This window comes from Homo sapiens, chromosome 9 (genome assembly GCF_000001405.40).
Source record: "Homo sapiens chromosome 9, GRCh38.p14 Primary Assembly".
NCBI lineage: Eukaryota > Metazoa > Chordata > Mammalia > Primates > Hominidae > Homo > Homo sapiens.
In genome coordinates, this window is record NC_000009.12 from 126,914,472 (window position 1) to 126,939,153 (window position 24,682).

At 47.1% G+C, this 24,682-nt stretch overlaps 1 protein-coding gene across 52 annotated transcripts in view, besides 3 other annotated features; it reads left to right on the plus strand.

The window, feature by feature from the left end:
* Window positions 283-712: a silencer, noted in NCBI's record as "silent region_20297". NCBI's record gives its function as "represses an Ori minimal core promoter by ATAC-STARR-seq in GM12878 lymphoblastoid cells {active_cell/tissue: GM12878}" and the evidence as "EXISTENCE:reporter gene assay evidence [ECO:0000049][PMID:35858748]".
* Window positions 311-24,682, plus strand: part of RALGPS1 (Ral GEF with PH domain and SH3 binding motif 1) — a 308,385-nt gene continuing 284,013 nt past the window's right edge. For 39 of the 52 annotated variants that reach the window (XM_011519233.2, XM_047424120.1, NM_001322321.2 and 36 more), the window contains exon 1: window positions 311-541. The gene's annotated coding sequence lies outside the window, so the exon portion shown is untranslated. Of the gene's footprint in view, window positions 542-967; window positions 1,023-24,682 lie in introns of those variants that run through there. The other 13 variants (XM_047424119.1, XM_047424121.1, XM_047424134.1 and 10 more) reach the window with 3 other exon arrangements.
* Window positions 1,203-1,272: an enhancer, noted in NCBI's record as "active region_29024". NCBI's record gives its function as "activates an Ori minimal core promoter by ATAC-STARR-seq in GM12878 lymphoblastoid cells {active_cell/tissue: GM12878}" and the evidence as "EXISTENCE:reporter gene assay evidence [ECO:0000049][PMID:35858748]".
* Window positions 2,566-2,615: an enhancer, noted in NCBI's record as "active region_29025". NCBI's record gives its function as "activates an Ori minimal core promoter by ATAC-STARR-seq in GM12878 lymphoblastoid cells {active_cell/tissue: GM12878}" and the evidence as "EXISTENCE:reporter gene assay evidence [ECO:0000049][PMID:35858748]".

Here is a 24,682-nt window from a genome sequence, read left to right on the forward strand (position 1 = left end):
CAGGTAGGGATTTACGGGGGATATCGGGTGAGGCCTGGACGGCCGTGTGGGGAATAAGATGCGCGGCTATTTCTAGGCAGGGGATGGGCGTGGCGGGCGGCGGGCCGGGTGTGCTGGCAGCGCAGCATCCCTGCGGGCGGGGAGGGCGTCTGCAGATGAGCTCGGAGGCCGAGGCCCGGGAGGACCGCGGATGCAGCGGCTGCGCACTGGTACGACCAGCCGGCCGATTTGCGTGTCTCCGCCCCTACAACGAGCTGGTTGGGGGGCTGTTCTGGTGCCGCGCGCCGATTGGATGAGAGGCCCGCCGCTCAGGCCCTGGAGCGGACGGTTCCTACTGCGGCTGGGCACCGGCTCCGCTCCCGCGTCTGCCCGCGCTCCAGCTGCGCCTGGCCCGGCCCCGGCCCGGCTCGGCGTGGCCCCGGCCTCCAAGCGAAGGCGCCGCTGCCGCTGGGCCGCTCCCAGGGCCATGAGGAAGCGGCGGCAGCCACTGCGGCCCGCGTCAAGGTGACCGGCCGGGACTGCGGCGGCGGGGAGAGCGGCGGTGAGAGGCGCGGCCGACGGGGCGGGGCGGGGCGGGGCGGGCCCTGAGGCCGGGCCTGAGGGAGCTGCAGGTGTGGGGGGCGGGACCCCGAGGGCCGCCGAAGCCGGGGAGGGGCCTCGGTGCGGGAGGCGGGGCCGGGGCCGTGCCTGCGGGTGCCCGGCGCCGGGGCCTGGCCGGGGTCCGGGGGTTCTGGGGTCCGGGGCCAGGGGCGCGCTGGTCCCCGGGAGCGTGAAGGACGGCGGGGAAGAGGCGCGGGCGCGGGGGGCGGGGCCGGGGGGGCAGTTGGGCGGGGCGCCGCGGCTGCAGGTGCGGGGGGCGGGGCCGGCGGGGCTGCCGTGGGCGGGGCTGTGGGGTGCGGCCCGCGCTGGACCCAAGGAAAGCACAGGTGCGGGGGGCGGGGCCCGGGGACCTGCAGCGGTGGGGGGCGGGGCCCGGGTGGCTGCGGTACGGAAGCAGGGCCCCAGGTGAGGAGCAGGCGAGGGTGAGTGGTCGCCCGAGAAGGAAAGGCCGCCCTCTCCGCTGCCCAGGGGTGCTTGGGTGGGAGCGGGGGCTTTGGGCTCCCTGAGGATTCTGGGGGCATCCGGGGCTGCCGCTAGAAGGGCCGTCCGGGCCTGCCTGTGCCTCTGCTGACTCGGGCTTGGAGCTCAGCTGCCCTGGTTACTGGCCGGTTGCCTCCCCTATGCTACGCCGCGCCCTAAGTGGGGCGCGCTGTTTTTCGCACCTCAGGGGCTTTCCTGTTGCTATTGAAGGGGCTTGCCAGGATGCGGGGGGCGGGGGGTTGGTTGTCATTGGATGATCGGTTGTTGAAAAATGTGTGTGCTTGAAGAGTAGTATGAGGCTTGGGAGGGGTCCTGGCTTGCTGGCCACTGGTACCAGAAGCTGCTGTAGATCTCAGCAGTGCGTCTCAAAAAGACTGAAATGGCAGCCTGTTAAGTGGGGAGAGCAGGGATGAGAATTCAGAAGCTTTTGACTATGCTACCTGGGAGAGTTTTTCACCTGTTTCCTCCGTTGCAAAATGAGCATGTTAGTACCTGCCTGTGTGCCTCCCAGGGGCCTGGTGAGGATAGGATGAAACAGTGCCTACTGAGCAAATCGCTGGATAAAGTTATGAGTTTCCTTTTTCTTGTGCCGATGGGCAGGTTGGATTCAGGGACTGGAGAGTCTAAAGAAGAGAGGGTTTGTTTCTAGTTAAGAGGTGAGACTAGACCACTGTCTTTTCGCAGTTTGGGATGAGGTTTTGTTGGGAGTTCCCAAAAGACTCAGCCGTGTCTTGGATCGTGACTGCTTCTCTCTGCGAGGCCTCTGAGGGAGCTGCTGCAACGCAGGGAGCAGTGGCAAGTGGAAGCAGCAGAACATTTGTTTGCTGACCTTTAGACCCCAACCCCGGTGAGGACTCTGAGCTGGAACATAAAGCTCAGGCCTGAGGCTATGGAAGTCCCTCTGCCCCCATCCAAGTACAGACCCCGATTTTACCACATTCCAAGAGGGTCGGGCGCGGTGGCTCACGCTTGTAATCCCAGCACTTTGGGAGGCCAAGGCGGGTGGATCATTTGAGGTCAGGAGTCCGAGACCAGCCTGGCCAACATGGTGAAACCCCCTCTCTACTAAAAAATACAAAAGTCAGCCGGGCATGGTGGCGGGCACCTGTAATCTCAGCTACTCAGGAGGCTGAGGCCGAGAATTGCTTGAACGTGGGAGGCGGAGGTTGCAGTGAGCCGAGATCGTGCCACTGCACTCCACCCTGGGCGATGGAGTGAGACTTTTCCATCTCAAAACACACAAAAATCCCCAAAAGAAGACCCCCAAAAGAAGGCAATGCCTGACTCCACTGTGTACCCACAGGGGCGGGGAGAAGGAAGCAGGATGACAGGGCTTTTTCTGAATTTCAGAAGAGTGTTGTATACCCATATATGTGACCTTTCAAAGCCCAGTGCCTCTGCTCACTGGTAGTTGACCAGTCCAAACTGTAATGCCTCCTACCTTCGTTGCATGGACAGAAGTGAAGGTAGGTGGAGCCTTCTCTACTAACCTGAATTTTTTTTTTTTCACTGTAGAAGCTGTGGGACTTTAGGGGCCAGGAACCATGGTGCTGGCCTCCCTCATTACCACTAGTTGGTGCAGTGGTGACCCAGTAGCATTGAGGGGATTAGGCCCTTACTGGTGCCTGTGCTTGTGTGGCAGGTCCCAGAGGATCTAGAAGCAGCATGTGAGAGTTCTCCCACTCTGTCTTGGCAGAAGCGGTGTTAATGGCTCTCAGAGACTGCTGCTGTCTGAGTGACCATCATGCTCTTTGGGTTAGAAGGAAAGCTCAAACTTGGTGGCAAAGAAGACCTAGAACATGTGTTGAATAATGAGGGGATTAGCAACATTCAGGGTGGAGAGAAATACTTCATTAATGAAAAATACTGCATGTGAGGCTCTGTGATATGGCCCACCTCTTGAAATGGATTTTCCTTTTCAGTATGGAGGGTAAGAGCTCAGACTTGGAAGTCAGTCAGGTCTGTTTGAAACTGCAGGCTGCCACCTCCTGCTGAGTGAACCAGCACTACTTCCTTAGCTTCACAGAGCTTTGGTTTCTTTATTTGTAAAGCAAGGATAACCATGCCCACCTTGTGAGGTTGTTATGAAGAATAAATGAGACGGGAGGGGAGAAGGCACCTGATCCACCTGGTTAGGGTCCTGTTCTGTCTCTCACTGCCTGCCCATCTTTCAACACAAGCTACTCAGAACAGCATGTAACATGCAAGGAGAGCAGGACAGGGAATTCTGAGGCCTCTATTTTTTATGTAACCTTGAACAAATCCCTTCCTGTCTCCAGACCTTGGGTTTCTTAGCTGAGTGAGGAGGGTGTTAGACTATGTGATCACCAAGAGTCCTTCGAGCTCTAGCCTTCTGGTTAGCATGCCGTCATCTTTTCTTCAAAGGCAGGAGGGAGGAAACTAATGACCTCTTGTTTAGTTCTTCTTTTAAAAATATCTGTCTAGCACCTTGCCTGGCCATAGTAGGTGCTCACCGAATGCTTGTTGAAAGAACAGATGAAGGACTTTGACTGGAAAGAAGGTGTGGCAAGTTGTCCCTGCTACTTTTATGCATATGGTTTCTGTACCCTTAACATACATTTTATTTATTGCACAAAAATATTGTAACATTAGTAAAATTAGTGAACTTCAACATAAAAGACAAAAGTTGTTGCATGGTTTCATTTCATCACACATTAAATTCATTCAATTTTTGTTCGTAAACATACATAATTCTTCATGGTTGCAATCGTACGTATGTAAGCATTTGGGAAAGGCCCAGTAATAAATGGTTTCTTTGAATATCGTTTAAAACTTTTTTTAAGAGACAGGGTCTCCCTCTGTTAGCCAGATTGGAGTGCAGTGGCACAGTCACGGCTCACTGCAGCCTTGACCTCCCAGGCTCAAATGATCCTCCCACCGTAGCCTCCCAAGTACTGCGCCACAACACCTGGCTAATTTTTAAATTTTTTGTAGAGATGGGAGTCTCACTATGTTGCCCAGGCTGGTCTCGAACTCCTGGGCTCAAGTGATCCCCGCATCGGCCTCCCAAAGTGCTGAGATTACAGGCATGAGCCACCACGTCTAGCAAGTATAGTTTTTATTTTATATTTTGAGGAAGTAAAAAAAAAATCACACATGGATTTTTTTTTTTTTTTTGAGACAGAGTTTCACTCTTGTTGCCCAGGCTGGAGTGCAATGGCGCGATCTTGGCTCACAGCAACCTCCGCCTCCCGGGTTCAAGCCATTCTCCTGCCTCAGCCTCCAGAGTAGCTGGGATTACAGGCATGCCCCACCACGCCTGGCTAATTTTGTATTTTTAGTAGAGGGGGTTTCTCCATGTTGGTCAGGCTGGTCTTGAACTGCAGACCTCAGGTGATCCGCCTGCCTCGGCCTCCCAAAGTGCTGGGATTATAGGCGTGAGCCACCGCACCGGGCCCACACATGGATTTTTTTTAAGGCTAGTGAGGGAATAAGTTGTAAGTGTCTTTCTTGCCTCAAGTTGACAGTTCCTAGTCCTTTTCCCTAGAGGCAGCCACTGTTACCAGTTTCTTGTTTATTATATATTCTTTCTCTTACACAAAGAATAGCATTTTATACATACTCATTGGTGCTTCATGTATCCACTTGATTTACTTTGGACATTGTTCTAGCATTGGAAAATGTGTCAGTTAGTATATACAGTTCCTTCTTAATAAATGTTTTTGACTGATATAAGCATAATTTTGTACCTCCACCCCCCACACCCCAATGATGTTTACTCAGTATTGGTTAGCAGTCATTGTTTAGAAGACTAACAAGAGACATCCTTTGTCCTAGGAAAAAAAGTGGCCTTGGTCCCAGTGAACAGTAGATTAAAGGGCAATCCATGTATCTGGATGCAAGGCGGAGTACAGAAAGAGAAAGGAAAAGAGATTTGTTCACTGGTAATTGAGAACTGATTTTCCATTCAGGCCTTGATTCAAAGTCCAGCTCTGTCACTTACTGGCTGTGTGACTTGGAACAATTTATCTAATCTTTTTGCATCTTAGTTTCCATATCTGTAAAATAGATAATGATAATAGGATCTGTCTTTGGGGGTTTTTGTGCGGAGGAAGGGAGATCATGCTATGCAAAGTACATACAGCAATAGCAGGTCATAGTAGGTGCTTAAGAAGGATGAGCTGCTATGTTATTAATAATCTGAAATAGATTCTATTCTTTGTGAGCAGATATTTACTGGACAATTAAGGGTGAGCCATGGAGAATACCTAAAGTCCTTGCCTTTGAGGTGCTCACATGCTGTGTGTGGAGATCGGCGCACAAGCCATTGATTACCAAACAGTATAGTGGGCCAGGTCGTGGGAGGCGAGCATTGTGTGAGATCACAGAGGCAGGGAACAGTGACTTCTCCCTGGGGTGGTTTGGAATGCCTCCTCAGCTCAAATTTTCCCTCCTTTGTGAAACCTACTTAATTTTTCCAGGCACCCTCCTATTTGTACTCCCTTGACTTTCATTCTGTGTGTACCTGGATCAGAGCACACATCATGTTATTGCATGTGTGACTTTTTGCCTGTGTCTCTACTCTGCACAGGGAAAGTCTCCTGCTTTCTTTGCTGCTGGGTCTCCAGAGCTTGACACAGGGTAGGCTCTTGTTGAATAGTGTGATGGACCTGTGCTTAGACAAATCATACTACTAAGTGGTGGCAAATTCTTATTTATACGTCACCAGGTCTCTGGTGAAACCCATTCTCTGGACTCTACTTCTTCACTCCCCAAATATTTGAGTGCTGACTCTGAGACAGGCATGTGCTGTGCTATATGCTAGGTGTAGGCTTTGGGTATGGCTGATGATACTTGTCCTAAAAAATCTTAGGGATGGGGAAGAAGGAAATATTTGTTGCAGATGCTGAAAGTCAAGATGAGGAAGCAGAAAAATGGACAAGTCTGGAATGAGCTGCTCATGCTTGCTGAAACTCACCTCTCCTTTCCACAGAAGTATGGCTGCTCTCCCTTGCCTTGGGCTGGAGTTGTGGAGGTGCAGGCCAAAGGAGCTGAGTAGGTGGCTCATAGATTTTAACTCGGGGGAAGAGTTGGTTGGATTGGCTTCTGTGAGGAGTGTTTCTGGGCCTCCTTTCGTGGCAGAGAATACACTTGACTTTCTTCAGGTGGGCATTCATTAACCTGCCTTGCTGGGCTCTTGCTTTGGGCTCAACCTTGTAATGGATGCTGGACACATGCAGATGAAGCTTTGTCCCTGCCCTTTGGGATCTCACAGTCAGTGGAGAAGTCACCCACAAACAGAAGGTGACTGAAGGCGATTGGCCATAACAGAGAACCTCTCATGAAGTGGCCAAGCAGTTTCAGGCTCGGGGCCAGGCAGACCCGGGTTCAAATCCTGCCTCTGTCACAGACAACCTGTGTGACCATGGGCAGGTGTCTTCCCAGCTCTGAGTCTTGGTTTACTGATTTGGTAAAGTGGGGATAGCAGTTTTACCTAACTTAGGGCTGTTGAAGATTTCAGTGAAATAATGCAGTGCAGTGTTTAGCACAGTGCCTGCTGGGAAGCTAATGCTTACAGAGTGCTCACTATTGTAATTATACGTGATGCTGTGGGAGAACCAAGAAGCACCTCTTGAGCTGTTTCTCAGGATCCTAGTGATAGTGTCGTGGTCATGATGAAAGTTAGGTATTGAATGTGAAGGTCAAGTCGTCTGAGAGATCAACTCTGAAGTCACCAAGCGCTCAAGGAGTCCTCAGGACCTTCCTCACTAGCCCTGTGGCTGATATTATGGCTCCAGGGCTATAGGCTTGTCTGTAAGTGTTTCCTCCCCACTTTCTGCGTGAGCTCTTCTGAAAGATACATTTCACCTGTCATCATTGTGAACACCTTTTCTTTGTCTGAGTACCTGCACTGATCATTCCATGACTTCTCCCCAAGGAGAGGCATGAGTTGTACTTGTCTCACCTGTGCTTGCTGAGGAGCGCAGAGACCTGAAGACCCAGAACAGCAAATAATTCCTTGGTTTTTCTGTAGAGCTTTCAAGTCTGTCGTGTTCTTCTTTGCAGGAGATTTATCTCCTGAGCATCAGAGAGGCAGATAGGGCAGTGCTTAAAACACGGACTCTGGAGTTGGGACACAAACAGATGTGGGTTTGTGTCCTGACACCATCACTCACAAGCCATGTGGCTTTGAGCAAATGACTATACCTCTGTTTCCTCATCGATACAAGAGGTGAGATAGTACGCGCCTTTGTGTGGTTCGTACAGGGTTTCAGGGAGACGCTACAAAATAGGGCTTAGCAGAGGGCTTGCACATTGTGAGCACCCAGGAAGTGGGAGCTAGAATAGTGTCCTCTTTTCACCCAGGGTAGTAAGATTTTTAGGATGCTTTTCTCAGGGTATTAATGTATTGTCTGTGGAAGTTATATGAGTTACTGCACAAGCAATGTGTTAAAACACACATGTACTTGGTGATGGGGGGCTGGGAAGCATGTCCAGGGTGGCAGGCAGAACTCTTCCTGCGCTGGGATTGCAGAGGCAAGCCTCAGCTCCCACAAAGACATAGGGTACTGGTGAGGGAGAGGACGGAGCCATTCTGGGCGCGTTTGTCTCAGGCCCATTTAGGAACTGGGGGCTGCTTCTCAAGTTCTTTCTGTTTAATCATTCCATTATTCCGTGTAAATGATTGGTCTTTAATATAAACTGATAATACAACATGATACTTTCCCTCTTCAGGATTTAAATATTTATTTTTTAAGGTTAAGTCAATTTTTGAGTAAGCAGAAGAAAATTTGAATCTTTGGCCTTGACATCATAGGTTTCTTTTAAAATCATCTGAGATGAAAGGAAGAATAGGGAATGTATTTAAGTCCATGTTTATTGGATACAGTAATTATCACCCACTGTTGTATAAGCCTGATAACTAGGGCAAGGGAAGTTTGTGCTTTTGGCATATTTCTGAATAATTAAATATTTATGGAAAACAAGTTAATAGATTCAAGACAATTTGCTGTGTCTTTCTCTGGCATAAAGTTCGTTATGTGGAATTACAGAGAGGATTAGTCCTCTGTGCATCTGTTTATTTTTTCCTTCTAGGCACCATATCTCTAACACTTTCAGTCCACTAGCATTTATAGATTGCTCTCCTACTGGGCTCCCACAACTCTCTCACTGTGTGCCCTGCCTTAGCATATAGTACAATTGTGCCCACCAGTGACTCCCTCATGACCTTTCTCTAGACTTTACAGAGTGAGAGTCCACATTTGTTCTTGCGTATTCAGGGCCTACCCCAGGGCTGGTACAAGGCAGCCAGAATGGTCTGAGCATGCCATTCCCTTTGCTTAAAAGCCTCCAGTGGCTTCTAATTTCTGTCAGAAAAAAGACCACATCATTAGCATGGCCGGTGAGGTGTAAGAATATGCTTTCTAGGGTAATTGCTGGATATGTCTGTCTCTCCTGGTGCAGTACAGTCCCATCAGGTCATGGGCCGTGACTGTTTTGCCCACCAGCAGGTCCTCAGTGCCTAGCCTAGCATCCGGCCTGTAGTAGATGCTCCTTAAGTGTTTATTGGATGAACAAATGGAGTAAATAGTGGGCTCCCAGTGACTGATCTGAATCTATAAAATGAGAAGGTTGTTAGATCGGAGGTTCTGTCCATTATACAATATCTCAACCCTTTACAACACTTAAAAAGGTCTCTTCACACTTTTTATTCCAGCCTTATGTTGATTCTGCAGGTAGCTAGGGCAGGTTTTGATGTGCATAGAAGACAATGGAAGCTTAGAGAGGTTAAACACATTGCCCAAGATGTAGCTGTGAGAGAAGCTGAGGGTCCTAACGCCTCAAGTGCCTGTTCTCATGCTCCTGGCTGCCTCAAGGTGTGGCTTCTGACACACTCATTGTAGAAGTCGCAGGTGAGATAAGGTGACAGGGCTTCATTGGAAAAAGGTACTTATAATAGTTTTTCTTGGTTTTAGATATTTCAGTTTCCAGATAATTGAATTTGAGGAGTTGAGTTAAATTTGGAATGATGGGTTTAAGGTCTTGTTTCATGCTTATGGGTCAGAAAATACTGAACTTTCCTGTAAATGGCTAAAGTATAGTAATGCTTGGTACCTGTGATGATTAGTTTGTAACTAGGGTTAAAATTTGTGTTCTTGTTGAGAAGACACAGTCTTGCTGAGTCACCTGGGCTGGAGTGCAGTGGCTATTCACAGGTGCGATTATAGCACACTACAGCCTTCAGCTCATGGCCTCAAGCGATCCTCCTGCCTCAGCCTCCCAAGTAGCTCCCAAGTGCCACTACACCTGGCTGACAACCTTTTTTGGTAAGATTAGAAGTTACTTGCTGATTGATATGTAGCATCCTTTGCTGTTTTCAGAAGATACTTGTTGTTTCAGTTAGTTTATTTCTTTAATGTATCTCTGGCTATATCTGCTATGGGACACTTTGGCAATGAGCATCACTATGGCCTTTGTGCTTATCACATATAGTGTCCGTCTATCCTGATGGTTACCAATCATTGAGTCTACTCTTTCCACTTTCCAGATGAGGATGGAGGCTTTGTTAGAGTTTCATACTGAAGTGCCCTGATTCCCCACCTGACAAATCCCATGAACTGGAACATGTCCATATGCATGTAACAGTTTCTCAACAGCTGCCTGCAGTTCATATACTGCTGCTAATAAACCATGCCCACGGTGAAGCATTTATCCCAGATGAAAGTGTCTGCTTCAGGGGCCTTTGTTGAATCTGCAGTGTGACTGTATAGGAAAAGGATGCAAACTTGACTTAGCCCACAGCTCCAATATCTAGTCCAGTGTTGGTGGCTAGTTAAGAAAAGACAGTGCCTGTTGTGGTCTGTTAACATGATAATCATTTCAGGGGGTTCTTAAGGACTAAGAGATTCTTGGAACCTAGTTTTATCAATATAGCCAGTAGTACTTGTTGAACAGAGAAGCAGCCTGGTATATAGAAAGATCAATGAATATGAAGTCAGAATGCCAAATGTGTCCATTTGCTTTGAGACTCCCACTTTCCATGTAAACAGGAATATCTTTGGTGTGCATGCATCCTTTTTCAGTAGGAAAGCCCCAGTTTTAATATCTGAGATTGTGTTATGAGGCTTAAGTCAGAACAAAGAGAGCTGGATGATGATAAAGGATTGTACCAATAACTGAAGGTAGTCTTATTCCTTATTCTTCCCTGTCCTCCGTAACTACTTGCCTACTAGCCCATCTGGCCATCCATCCATCCATGCAGTTCTTGTCCAGGGTCTACTGAGTGCCAGTGCTATGCCAAGTGTGAGGCCACAGTGGTGAAAAAAAGACAGGCCGGGCGTGGTGGCTGACGCCTGTAATCCCAGCACTTTGGGAGGCCGAGGCGGGTGGATCACCTGAGGTCGGGAGTTCAAGACTAGCCTGACCAACGTGGAGAAACCCCGTCTCTACTAAAAGTACAAAAAATTAGCTGGGCATGGTGGCACATGCCTGTAATCCCAGCTACTGAGGAGGCTGAGGCAGGAGAATCGCTTTAACCTGGGAGGTGGAGGTTGCGGTGAGCCGAGATCGCACCATTGCACTCCAACCTGGGAAGCAAGAGTGAAACTCCATCTCAAAAATAAATAAATAAATAAATAAATAAATATAAAAATAAAAATACAGATCTGGTCCTTGCTGTCCTTTAGCTTACAGTCTAGTAGCAAGGTTAAATAACAAAAATAATAACAAGTACATATAAAGGTAATTACAGGGGCTGGATGTGGTGGCTTACACCTGTAATCCCAGCACTTTGGGAGGCCAAGGCAGGCAGATCACTCAAGGTCAGGAGTTCACGACCAGCTTGGCCAACATGGTGAAACCCCCTCTTCACTAAAAATACAAAAAATTAGCCGGGCATGGTGGCACGTGCCTTTAATCCCAGCTACTTGGGAGGCCTAGGCAGGAGAATCACTGGAACCTGGGGGGCAGAGGTTGCAGTGAGCTGAGATGGCACCACTGCATTCAGGCCCTGGGAGACAGAGTGAGACTCTGTCTCAAAAAAAAGAAAAAAAAAAAATTACAGTGCATAGTGTTGTGCACCTATAGTCCCAGATACTCAGAAGGCTAAGGCAGGAAGATTGCTTGAGTCCCAGAGTTGAGTCTAGCTTGGGCAACGTAATGAGACCAGTCTGGGCAACATAGACCCTATCTCTTAAAAAAAAAATTATAGCACTGATGTCTGCAAAAGAGGAGTATAAGGTGCTAAGAGACCATACATTTAATGGCTTTCCTGCTAGGGGAGTCAGAGACAGCTTACCAGAGGAAGGGGCCTTTAAGCTGACACCTGAAAGATGAATTGAAGCTAGCCAGGTGGAGAGGTGGCAGTTGCATCTGCCATCATCCTAGCTGGGGAAGGAGCATGGAGGACTCCAGATGTACTGGGGAGCCAGCATGGCTAAAGCACTGAGAGCAAGGGAGAGACCAGTGTTCATGTTCTGGTCATGGCCTTGTTTCCTTGGACTGTGCCAGAAATAATGGACAAATTATGTAGTTGCTGACTCATTTTTCATAACTCCCCAGCTGTCACCAAAAGCATCTATTACTGAAACATTACCTGTGGTTTCCAATATAGCAGTTGGCCTTATTTTTATTGCTTTAGAGATTGGTTGCTTCCTTTGCTTCTTGAAGGTGTGGAAGCAAATACTTGGACCTCATTAGTGGTTTTCAGTCATTAAGTAAACATTTACTAAGCATGTAATAGGGCTTGACACTGCAGACCCTACCCTCAGGAGCACCAAGACTTGACAGATAGAAGTAAATACATAATGATAATACAGTGTCATGGGAAGTAGAGTAGTGGAAATGGAAGCTCATGGGACCGAGTAAGACTCACAGGCTCTTAAAGATTTTCACTTTTCCAGGTGAAGCAGGATACAGGCAGAGGAAACAGATTGTACAAAGGTACAGAAGCAGGAGGGAGTATGATGTGCTTCAGGGATGGTGGACAGTGTGGTGTTGCTGGAGTGTGAGATTTATGGTGGAGGATGGAGGGAGGAGGATCTGGTTGGAGAGGTGGTTTGGGGTCAGTTCACAGAGGGACTTGCAGGCAGTGCCTAGGAGTGTAGGTGTTGTCTTGTGGTCAGTGGAGAATCGTTCAAGCTCTAAGAGGAGAGAAGGATTGTCACTTATAGTCCTGGTGGCAGTGTGGAGGATGATGGTGTGAAAGGGGACTAGAGATTGGGAGCTGAGTGAGGGTTATTATAGGAATTCAGGAGTGGGATGATGGGGTCCTGGCTAGGTGGATGGGGAGGAGAAGGCAGGTTCAAAAGAAACTGATGTAGAGGCCTCTCCTACTTGGTAGATGGGAGGAAGGGCGATATCAGAGTTTCTCACTCGGTGCCATGAGATGGTAGGACCAGTCACTGAGCTATGAAACGTGAAAGGAATACTGGGTTGGTAGGAGGAAGGTTGTGAATTTGGTTTGGGCCATTTTGAGTTTGGAATGGATGAGGGGTTGCTTGGTGGACCTGCCCACTTGGTGACTGGCCTGCTAATCTGCAGCTGAGAGAGAGATCTAGGCTGGAACAGTGGTTCTCACACTCTAGAGCATCAGAGTCCTCTGTAGTGTTTGCGGGGAGGGAGGCTGGTAGTCTTATGTTTAAGGGCTTTCACAGATGGTTCTGATGCCCCAGGAGATACTTGGGGTCATTCTTGCATAGCTGGCCCCTGAAGTTGTGTCATAGGAGAGGATGGGATCACTCAGGAAGGCTGTGTGGTAGTGGATGAGAGTCCCGGCTGAATTGCTGGGGAGCGTCAGCATGAGAGGTGGAAGTGGAAGTCAGGGAAGAAGCAAGAGGAGGAATGGGCAGCTAGGAAGAAAGACAGGAAGAACGATGGTGTGGAAACCGGTGGTGGGGGCACCAACCTCCACTTCTTTCCCTGCAGGGCTTCAGTTTTCTCATTTTCCTCTCTAGTAATTCATTAGGGAATTATTGCCCTGCTACCTAGAGCTGAGCCTTCCGTGCCTCCCTTCAACATTTGTTTACACTAGTGTCAGAGCCAGTCTCCCTGACAGGTTATGCTTCAGTTACCTTTGTTGTCGTGTGCAGAAGACTCTGAAAGAGGCTGTTTGCTGCAGACAGTCTCTACCCCCTTCAGCGCCTCCCAGCAACCTTCTCAAGCAATTCCCTCATGCCTTCTATTGCTGGTCCTCGGGACTAAAATCTCTATCCGCTGAAGCCAGAAAGTTGCGCCCTCCCCCATCTAACATTGTGAGGTTCAGGATGGATCTGCAACCTCAGGGATGTGTGTCTGGGTCCTAGGAAAGGCAGCTGATCGGAACAGTTTGAGTCTGAGAAGATGATTAAAACATTCAGATTAGACTAACGCGATGCGTGGGTAGGTATCTGTGACTTGGGGTTGGGGTGCATCCCTGGTCCACTCTGTATCCTGTGCTTGGGTAGCAGGGAAAAGCCTGTTACAGAATTTCTGGAACTTATTGTTGGGGTCTGAGAGTTAGAGTACTTGGGATCTACTCAGACTGCTGGTGGCGGTATCCTAAATTGGTAAAAGTGGAAGTCTGTCTCCCTGGTAAGCCTAAGTGCCTGACTGAGCTCAGCTTACAGAAGCAGGTGAAGAGCCTTTAATCTGAGAGGTCCAGTGGGAAACTGATCTGTGATCCATTGTGTGTGTTGTTAGTATTATCCTCAATCCTAAGACCTGGAGTGTAGGACAAAGGCACAGATCCAGTTGCCACTGACCCTGTTGCTGAAAGCCACAGCTGAGGAGTAGTGAGAAGGATCAGGGTTAACTTGAGGGGGAGTCCTTAATACCAGGACTGACCATCGTGGTGTGATGCCTTTTGCTTCTTAGGGAAGGAAGAAGAAAAGGAATTAATATTGGTTGAGCTGAGAAACCCAAATGCTGGGCAAAGAGAAGGGAACAGATAGAAAGTAGAGGCAGGATGATGAGATATGTGTACCAGTACAGAACATAAAATGCTATTCAGCTCCTATAGAACATAAAGAAATGTTTCAGAATAAGAGGCAGACTGAGCTGTGTTCAAATCCTGCCTTTGCACAAATACTACCAGTGAGGATACTTTTTTTTTTTATTTTTATTTTTTGGAGATGGAGTCTCGCTCTTGTTGCTCAGGCTGGAGTGCAGTGGCACAATCTTGGCTCACTGCAACCTCCACCTCCCAGCTCCAAGTGATTCTCCTGCCTCAGCCTTCCAAGTAGCTGGGTTTACAGGTGGCCACCACCACACCTGCCTGATTTTTGTATTTTTAGTAGAGACAGGGTTTCACTGTGTTCGCCAGGCTGATCACAAACTCCTGACCTCAGGTGATCCACCCGCCTCGGCTTCCCAAAGTGCTGAGATTACAGATGTGAGCCACCACGCCCGGCCAAGGATACTCTTACTGGCTGTGAGTTCTTGGATATGTTACCTAACCTCTTTGGGCCTCAGTTTTCTCACTTTCTCTCTAATAATTCATTAGAGAATTATTGCATGGATTTGGTGGCATATTTCTATGGATAAGGTGCTTAGCAAAGTATCTGTCACAGAGTAATGGTTCAATAAATGGTGATGATAATGGTGATGACCATCATGTGAGTACCTCTGTAGATATCTCCACTGGACCAAAGCCTACCTGTATAATAAATGTTTGAAATGAACAACATCAACAGTAACAAGGTCAGTATGAGATTAGCAACATATGAGAGGGAAAACCAGATCCACTGGCAAAATTACTGGAACACTGAGAGGATAAGGATAGCAGTGGAGAATCATAAAAACAGGACATGATAGAAAATGAAAAGGTACAAGGAAGGAACTATTAAGTATGATCAAAGTAGTCTTATTGGCTGTGAAGAAGAGAGGCAAGAGATTCTGAATCAACACCTGGAGGTGATGAGGACAAAATAACCTTAGTCTTTAGTGATGATAGAAATTTTCTTTATTTTTTTATTTTTTGAGACGGAGTTTTGCTCTTGTTGACCAGGCTGGAGTGCAGTGGCGTGATCTTAGCTCACCGCAACCTCCACCTCCCAGGTTCAAGCGATTTTCCTGCCTCAGCCTCCCGAGTAGCTGGGATTACAGGCATGTGCCACCACGCCCAGCTAATTTTGTATTATTATTTTTTTTTTTAAGTAGAGACGGAGTTTCTCCATGTTGGTCAGGCTGGTCTTGAACTCCCTACCTCAGGTAATCTGCCTGCCTTGGCCTCCCAAAGTGCTGGGATTACAGGTGTGAGCCACTGTGCCCGACTGATACAAATTTTTATTGCCACTTCTACTTCCCTGAGTATTTTAGTGGATAGACATTGAGGGGAAGTGGCATTAGGGATTTATTTTTCCTTTTTCAGAGATGGAGTCTTGCTCTGTTGCCCAGGCTGGAGTGCAGTAGTGCAATCATAGCTCACTGAAGTCTTGAACTCCTTGGTTCAAGTGATCCTTCCACCTCAGCCTCCTAAGACTACAGGTGTGCGCCACCACTCCTGGCTTAAAAAATTTTTTGTTTAGAGATGGGGTCTTGCAGTGTTGCCCAGGCTAGTGTTGAACTCCTGGCCTCAAGTGCTTCTCTGCCTCAGCCTTCTGAGAATCTGGGATTATAGGCATGAGCCATTGAGCCTGGCTACTGGGATTCTTTACCTAATGTTTGTTTATTTATTTTATTTTAGTTTTTTTTTTTTTTTAAACTCCAAAGCCCCATTGTTATAATTAGGCTTGTGACAGAGGAGCCTCATATTAAATATGTATTGAATGGGTAAGATGAAATAAATTAATCAGTTCCTGGCTCTTTCTAAAGAAGTTTAAATATAGTAATAATGACAGTATTATATCTCCAAATGTTGGCAAAGATTTAATGCAATTCCTATGAGATATTTTATAAAGCTTGAAAAAATAATGATGTTTACCTGGAAAACTAAGTTGGTAAAAAAATATTTATTTATTTTTAATTTTTTTGAAACAGGGTCTTGCTGTGTTGCCCAGCCTGAAGTATAGTGGCGTAATCTTGGCTCACGGTAACCTTCACATCCCAAGTTCAGACGGTTCTCATGCTTCAGCCTCCTGTGTAGCTAGGATTACAGGCCTGTGCCACCATACCCAGCTAATTAAAAAAATATTTTTAGTAGAGATGGGGTTTCATTTTTAGTAGAGATGGGGTTGGCCAAGCTGGTCTTGAACTCCTGGCCTCAAGTGATCTGCCTGCCACAGCCTCCCAAAGTGCTGGGATTACAGGCGTGAGCCACTGCTCCTGGTCAAGATAGTTTTTTAAATGAGTGAAATTGCCTTTATTTTTCCAGATTCTTATTCATTTCTACAAATGTTTGAGTTGCCTACTATATAAAAGCAGTGCTAAACTCTTTGTTGAGGGAATATAAAAATGGCTATCTGTGTTATATTTTCTCATTTAACTCTTATCACTCTCCTTGTGAGAGAGCCACTTTAGGTTGTGCTATGAGTGAGAGAAAATGCAAAATAACAAAGACATAAACAAGGTAGAAGTTTCTTATGTGCAAGAAGTCAGAAGGTAATTAGGCCAGAGTAGGTATGGAGCCTGCATAGTCAGAGACCCAGGTTCCTTCTAAGTCCAAAGTCACTTCATGGCCTAAAATGGCTGCGAGAGCTCTAGCCTTTCCATATGCATTCCAGCCTTTGAGGGCTACTGTCCAGAAATTCGGCACGATACCGCTTACATCTCAGTCATTTAATCTTGGTCTTACGGCCACAACTTTCAGTAAGGGAAGCCAGGAAATGTAATCTACACTCAGGGAAGCCATGTGTCTACCTAAAAGAAGAGAGGGAGGATGACTGCTAGCGGGCAGCCTCATAGCAACATTATTAGTAATTGCCAAAAATGGAAACAACCCAAATATCTACCAGTTAATGAACAGATAAACCAAATGTGGCATATACATATAAAGGAGTATTATTCAGCCATAAAAAAGAATAAACTACTGTTTCATGCCTAATATGGATAAACCTTGAAAACATTCTGAGTGAAAGAAGCAAGACACAAAAGTCCACATACCGTATGATTCTGTCTGTATGAAACGTGTAGAAGAGGCAAACCCAAAGAGACACAGAACGTAGATTCATAGTTGCTGGGTCTCATGGCAGGGGGAGTGGGGAGTAACTGCTGATGGGTTGGGTACAGGATTTCTTTGTAGGGTGATAAAATGTTCTGGAATTAGATAGTGGCAGTGGTTGTGCAACTTAGTGAATATGCTAAAAATCACTGAATTCTATGGTTTAAAAGGTGAATTTTATGTTGTATAAATTATATCTGAATTTAAAAAAATAACTTTTTCTTATTAAATTTTAATTGTAAAAAAATAAGAAAGATAGACAAAAAAGAAAGAACCAGCCATCATCTCATTGTCAATACCTGGGGTATGTGTCCAGACATTTTTCTGTGTGTCTGCCTCAAAGTTGAGTTGATAGAGGAGCAATGTGTTGGGATTAGCATAGTCCACAGACATGTTTTTTTTTTTTCACTAGTGCTTCAGAATTCCTCTGTTGTTAGGCTGTTACGTTGGAAACAATACTTGGCCATGGTGGAAACCTTAGCATATTTGGAAACCATAGCATATTTGAAGATCTGGGTGCCTCTTCCAACTCACATTGGGTCTGTGAACTTGAGAGAGGCACTTAGTCTCCCTGTCCTCATCTTGAAAAGGGATTGTGGTACTTGGTGGTATCTTTCTTACTAGAATGGCTAAAATGAAGGGGGAAAAAGACAATATTATGTTGGTGAGGTTGTGGAGCGATCAGCTTTCATACTGCTGGTGGGAGAATAAATCGGTCTATCCACTTTGGAAAATTGACATCATCTATCAAAGCTGAACATATACATACCTTATGACCCAGCAGTTCCACTCCTTGGTATCGACCCAACTTTGAGACAGACACAAAGAAATACATATGGATGTGTACCAGAAGGCATGCTCAGTCACGCTTCTAGCAGCTCCATCTGTAATAGCTCAAACTGGAAACAATACCAGTGTCCATTGGTAGTAGAAGGGATAATACACGTGGTACACTCCCATGATGGAATACTGTAGTCAGTTAGAGTTAATGTACAAGCCCATTAAAACAATCCGATGAATTTCACAAACATAATGTTCATACAGATAGAAAAGGTTATAGACCATACAAATCCATTTATATAAAGTACATTATATAATGTACATTATAAAACAAAATGTTATAAAACATTTTTATAAAACAAAAATGTTATAAAAACATTTTTATAAAACAAAAATGTTGAAACATTAGAACATATAATTAATTTACAAATACATATATACATGTTAGAGGTGCTTTGCTTAATATTTTTTAACTGTTGGTCGTGAAGGATCGTAAAGTTTGGTGAGCCAAGGCTTGCCACCACAAGAGCGGGCAGTCTGAGCCGAGGCCGGGCTGTGGACGCAGCTGGCTGAGTGGGTGAGCTTCATGCTATTCAGTTGGCGGCCTGTGTTAGGGTTGCTTTCCTTGTTGTAGGATCATGAAATATGGGACAGGGGAGGGTGGTGGTGAAGCTGGCGAGGGGGCAGGGGCCTGGAACCCAGCCGGAGGGCTGAGAAGAATGAAGAGGAAGCTTGGTGAGAGGACAAAAGGAAGGCGGCGCTGGTGTGGCATCCAAACAGAAGAAAGGAGCCAGCAGGGGAGGCCAGAGACCAGCGAGGCTAAGGAAATGGGAGGAGAAAGAGGGACGGGGCATCATCAGGGCTGGAGGGATGACTCCAGAAAGAGGGGCTGGTGAGCAGGTTAAAGCTGCCATGAGGTGGGAGAGCCTTAGGCCACTAGTCTCAACAATTAGTAGCAGGAGGTTCTGGGACCCCAGAGGGGCCAGTGTGACCCCAGTCTTCGGGCAGGGGTTACTGAGTGGGTGAGTGTCTGACGGGAAAGTAGCCTGGGCTTCAAGGGTCAAAGCTGTTCTGAAGATGTTCTTAGGCAGAGAGAAGAACCAAGGGAGCGGCAGAGACTGAGGTTGCCAGAGAAGGGGCTGACTGCCTGACTGGCAGCTGGGAGTGCACCCCAAGTCCAGGGCCTGCCATCAGCCCTGGCTCTCAGTGGATGCCTTTATCAGATGTGGGAGGGGAAGGCCAGGTTAGAGGAGGGTCGGGAGGGAGCAGAAGTCACCTTCTCTCAGTGAAGGAGGTTGTGAGGCTGCCCCCTTGTAACCTGCCCTGGTGGTGCACAGGTGTAGAGTAAGGTGTGGGGTATGGTGAGGGGGTGCTTTGGAACAGCTGCCATGGGAGACAAGTGGCCACGGAGCTCATAGCACCTTGTGCACAATGCTTGCGTGTGCCTGCAGGGGGGGTGTGCCACACCCACCCTCCCTTGCCTTTATACTCTTTTTCACACAGCAACATGCACCTGTGGCAGGAGAGTTTGTGTCCAGGCATTCCTGAGGTCCCTTCTCGCTGGGTGGTGCGCGAGGCCTTGGCTCGGTTTTTGGCCTGTCAGAATGCGTTTTCCCACAGTGTCAGTTTTTCTCTGGGGTTCATTCCCCATGCACACCTTACATGCTTATTTACCACAGCGTGTATCCAAAGCATGATGGGAAAGGAAAATAGTGACCACATAGGATGAATTCCATGATTTTAGGACAGGATTTGCCACCTGATTGGCTAATGATGATACCAAATGTGGATGCGTGGGAAAAGTATTTTAACATTTCAAATAATAGATTGAAGTCAGACCTTGTAGCACTGTAACTGGTCCAAATGACTGAGCTTTGAAAGACAAGTCTTAACCATATGGAACATCAATGTAAATTGAATTATTTTCCCTACTTTTATAGTGGCTACTGTTTGGAAAGAGATGTGCTGGGAAGGTATGTCCTATTGATTAGGGGATTATGAAATCCAGCATGTATTCCTGGTAAGCCAGTGCCCTGACCATAGTGAAATGTGCCATTTTGAGTAGGCGGTCATGCCGTGTGGGCACCCACAGGTATATACTGGGTACAGGGGAGCCGGGTGGTGCTGTAGTCAGAGAAACCTCCTGTCAAGCGGAGCCCGATGGGACTGAGGCGCTGCAGAGTGGTTTTCAGGGCATCAGGCAGCCTCTGCGAGCCACAAAACAGGGGATGTGTTAGGGGCTTCTTCACCACATGAAGCTCTGGGGTTTTCTCTATTGGTTCTCCTGTCAACGGTTTTTTAACTGTCTTTCTCTCTCTGCCTCCTCCTTGTGCACACCTCTTTTTGCTACCCTGTCATGCTGTCACCCTTGTGTTCCCATTGGTGTCTGTTCCCCCAACAGCTGGGCTTACTTGGGCAACCTCCCGTCAACCTCAGTCAGGTCCCTGTACCTACCCAGAAGCCCCCCTCCTCTCTTCTTTCCAGTTCACCTCCCTTCCTCACTTGGAGCTGTCCTTGCTTCAGACCCTTAATCAGAAAGGGCCAGCTCATTGTGTGAGTTATGTTTGGCCATGGGAGAATGGGGTGAAGGAATGTGAAGACAAATAAGACATGAGCCTTGTCTTTAAGGAACTACGAACTGGTTGACCTCCCTTCCCCACCAGTGCAGACCATTCTTGCCCCCTGAGATTCTGCCCACCTCATTTGGCACCTCTTCTAAGAATGCTTTTCTGCTCTCCCCAGCTCGCGGGAGCTCTCCTTTCCTTAAACCCTCATGACACTGTGGCCCTGGCCACATTCTGCATTGCATTGTGCTGCTTTGATCTACTCTGTACCTCCTACCTTATCTCCTTGACTAGACTTTAAGCTCTTTTAAGGCAAGATCTGTGTCTTGTTCAATGCCTTACACACAGGAGATGCTCAATAAACGTTACAAGACTGAAACCAGCATGGAATCTGTTATGGCTCCCAGCATCCGTCCCCTTTGTTGCCATGGCGCCCAGGTCTTGAGCTAACCAGAGAATAAGGGAAGAAACAGAGAATGTTTGCCTGGAAGAATCCTAGGTGCTTCAGTTTAGGTAGGAACAGCCACAACAAATGTTAAAAGCTGAAATATTAACAATATTTCTCAGATTCTTCTGGTAGCCTCACTCTTCCGTCAACCTGTTTTCACAAAAGAGGCAGAAGGTAAAGTTTCTGATGCATTTCTGCACAGGGGCCCAGTCTTCTTTGATATTGCATGATTAACAACACTATAAGTAACTCATATAGTACTTAGAAGAAGCACGTTTCCAAAACTTTATGTATCAGTTGATTGGTTCTCCTAAGGAGGATGCTAGAAACAACCAGTCTTGGTTTTCTCACATGCTCTCTGCTTTAAACCAACAAAGGAGTAATCTCAGAGATGAGTAATTTCTCTGAAGTCACACAGCAAGGAAGTGGCAGAGTTGGACTGGACTCAAGGTCCGTCTCTGGCTCTAGAAGTGGAGCTCTCTCCACTGTCTGATTAGAGTTGGATTCCATTAGAAGCACAGCAGCTGCCCACTTGCTGCCTATGCTCTTGGAGGGGCTGGTGGGATCCTGCCAGTCCCGAGGAATCTGGGCTGAATTGGCCCGAGTCCATTCAGCTAGGGGAGGACTGCCTCCCCCCGTTGTCACCACAGGGACCAAAGGGCAGAGAATCTGTTTCCATTCCTCTTAGGAAGACCGCAGTCTGCTAACCCATTTCACCTGGGCCCACCTGGATGACAGCTGACCAGTCATCCCGAGCCTCAGGCATGCTAAGGCAGCAGGAGGTCAAGCAGTCTGTTGTGAACAGGGGATAGAGAACCTGCACTCACTGACAGGCAAAGACAAGTGACATTGCATTTAAGGACTCTTGGCCATGGAAGGGAGAGAAGGAAGCCAAGCTTCATACTTGCAGCTGTGGCGCTTTTGAGGCAGGATGAATGGAGTGACTGCATAAGAACTTTATAAGGAGAGAACTTCCAAAGCGAGGAGATTAAAGTATATGAGAGACTTTCTGGAACTGAAAGTCAATGAAGAACTGAAATTAGTAGTTTGGAAGGTCAAAGGAAAAATATTTCGTGACAGAGTAATAATGACAAGAAATGGGAATAATGAAAATGTGAGGTACTTAGAGGCAGCAAGAACAGATTTATTTATTATTTTTTTTTTTCCAAAGGAAAGAGAATTAGGCTGTCTTTGGGCTTCCCCTGTGCAACTCTGGAGGCTGGAAGACAGTGGGCTGGTATCTCCAGACTATTAAAGGGAGAGGGCCCCAAGTCCTCTATATACCCAGCCAAGATGTCAGTGAGGTGCCATTGCAAAAGAAAGCCATTTTCAAACACGTGAGGACACAAAACATTTATTAAATGTACCTGAGGAAAATATCCAGTGAAGTTCTCTAACCCAAGGACAAGGGAAGTGGAGTAGAGATATGGAGACAGGTAAGGAAGGAGTGCAGGGAACAGGAACGGCACCTTTTTTTTTTTTTTTTGAGACATAGTCTCGCTCTGTTGTCCAGGCTGGAGTACAGTGGCATGATACTGTCTCACGAAAACCTCCATCTCCCAAATAGTTCAGGTGATTCTCCTGCCTTAGCCTCCCGAGTAGCTGGGATTACAGGTATGCACCACCAGACCCAGCTAATTTTTGTATTTTTAGTAGAGATGGGTTTCACCATGTTGGCCAGGCTGCTCTTGAACTCCTGACCTCAGGTGATCCGCCCACCTTGGCCTGTCAAAGTGCTGGGATTACAGGCATGAGCCACGGCTGGAACAGCACATCTTTTAGTGCATGTAGTTTAATCTCAATGGATTAAACTGCTGTGAGTTGGAATTTCTATTATTAAATTATGAAGAGTTCTAAAAATAAAGGAGATCTGTTGTAAGGGAAAACATGATAATAGGTTGAGACAAAATTCTAAACCATTTCTCCAATACCTAAGGCTTTGGGAGGAAGGATGAGAGAGTGGGGAAACAAGTGCACTTAAACATAGGGCACACAGAACATGGCCACATAGCTATTCATTGTGTTACAGAAGGAGAGATAAGGGTTCAGTTTTGACTATTGGAGATCAGAACTTATATTAGGACTAGATTTGGTTGCCTATAATAATGCCTGAATGACAATGGGTTTACATCCTCACATAAAAAAGTAAAAAGATGGGCAGTCTAGGGTTGGTATAGTGGGATCAAAGATATCATGGACCCATGTTCCTTATATCTTGCCACTCTTCCATCCATAGCAGATTGCCTCCTGACCCAGTGTGGTTGCTTGAGCTCCAGTCATCACATCTGCATTCCAGGATTCAGAGGAGAAAAGGAGGAAGAAGGATGTGCCCCTTCCCTTCTGAGACACTTCTCAGAAGTTTTACATAGCTTTAACATGTGCATCTCCTTGAGTAGAGCTTAGCCACACTGAGGTGTGAGGGAACCTAGGGGTGCTTGGCTAAAGATGGGAGCTAAAGAAGACAAGGAGAAAGAAAGGAACTTGGCCTCAAAAGATAATCCCTACCAGGATGCAAGTTACAACAACAGGTTAAATGGCAGAAAGGTCACAAAGATGGATAAAACCAGTGTCAGGAAGTGAATGGGGGAGGTGGGTGCTCCTTTACATTACTGGTGGGAATCTGAATTGTTCAACTTTTGGGGAACATGATCTGAAGATACCTAATGTTAAAATATCTGTGTCTGGCAATCCAGCAGTATACTTCTGTGAGTCTCTTCTGCAGAAATAAAGCACTGATGCAAAACGTCGTACATACAATGCCATTTTCTGCATCACTGTTTATAGTGGCAAAAAGGTGAAAAGAAGGGGAGCACCCATCAGCAGTGTTGGAAAGGAGCCAGCTCTCTAGAAATTGGCACGAGAGAAGGCCAGGATATATTGTTAGGTTTAAAAAATCTGCTACCCTACCTGAGGAGCTCTGTCTAATCTCCCTCTCTGATGCTTGCTTTGGCCAGTTGAATACGCTACACCTTTTGAAAATGTGAAGTTTTAGGTGGTGTAGTAGCCATAGGCCCTGTCTGTCCCTATTCTGTTAAACCTCCAGCTTCACCATTGACGTGATCTGTCTGGGCCCAGCAGGCATGGAGGCCATGACCCTGGTCTCTGGCATGAGCCCAGCATGATTACATGTTGGTAGGCAGAAAGGCATGGAGGAATGTGCTCTTGGTGGCTCAAAGTGAGGTGGGTGGAAGGGGGAGGGCGTACAAGGAAGGGTGGGTTGATGGCTTCTTATTTGTACACCCCTACTGGGTTTGGCTATAGCAATAAGGATATGTTTTCAAAGTAGGCTTGCTCAGAAAAGGCTTTGCGAGTCATGGAAGCTGTGGGTGGCCACAGCTGTGACAGTCCAGTGAGGAAGATGAACACACACTTCACGACAAATGTTTTGAGTGTTGTGGAGAAGTCTAGATGCTCTAAAAGCTGTAGGAGAAGGACCTACCTAGGGCATCACTGAGATTTCCCACAGGAAGTGACATTTAAATGAGAATGGAAGAGTAGGAAAGAGCCAGGAGTAGAGGAGGGAGGAGGGTTTTAGGGAGACAAACTAGCCCCCGTTTTTGCTGGTGGTGAAAGAAGCAGGCTGGGTGTGGCCAGGGATGTGCCTGAATGACCTTCTGGGACCTGATGTGGTATCCACAAATCTCTCCTTCCTTGGCTGAGCTGTACCTACAGCGGAGCCACTTCTAAGGGCTGGAAGTGGGAGAGGGGGGCAGAGGGTCTGCACTTCAGCACAGAACATGTTCCCCTGATGGGCTCTGTGATCCTCATTGCTCC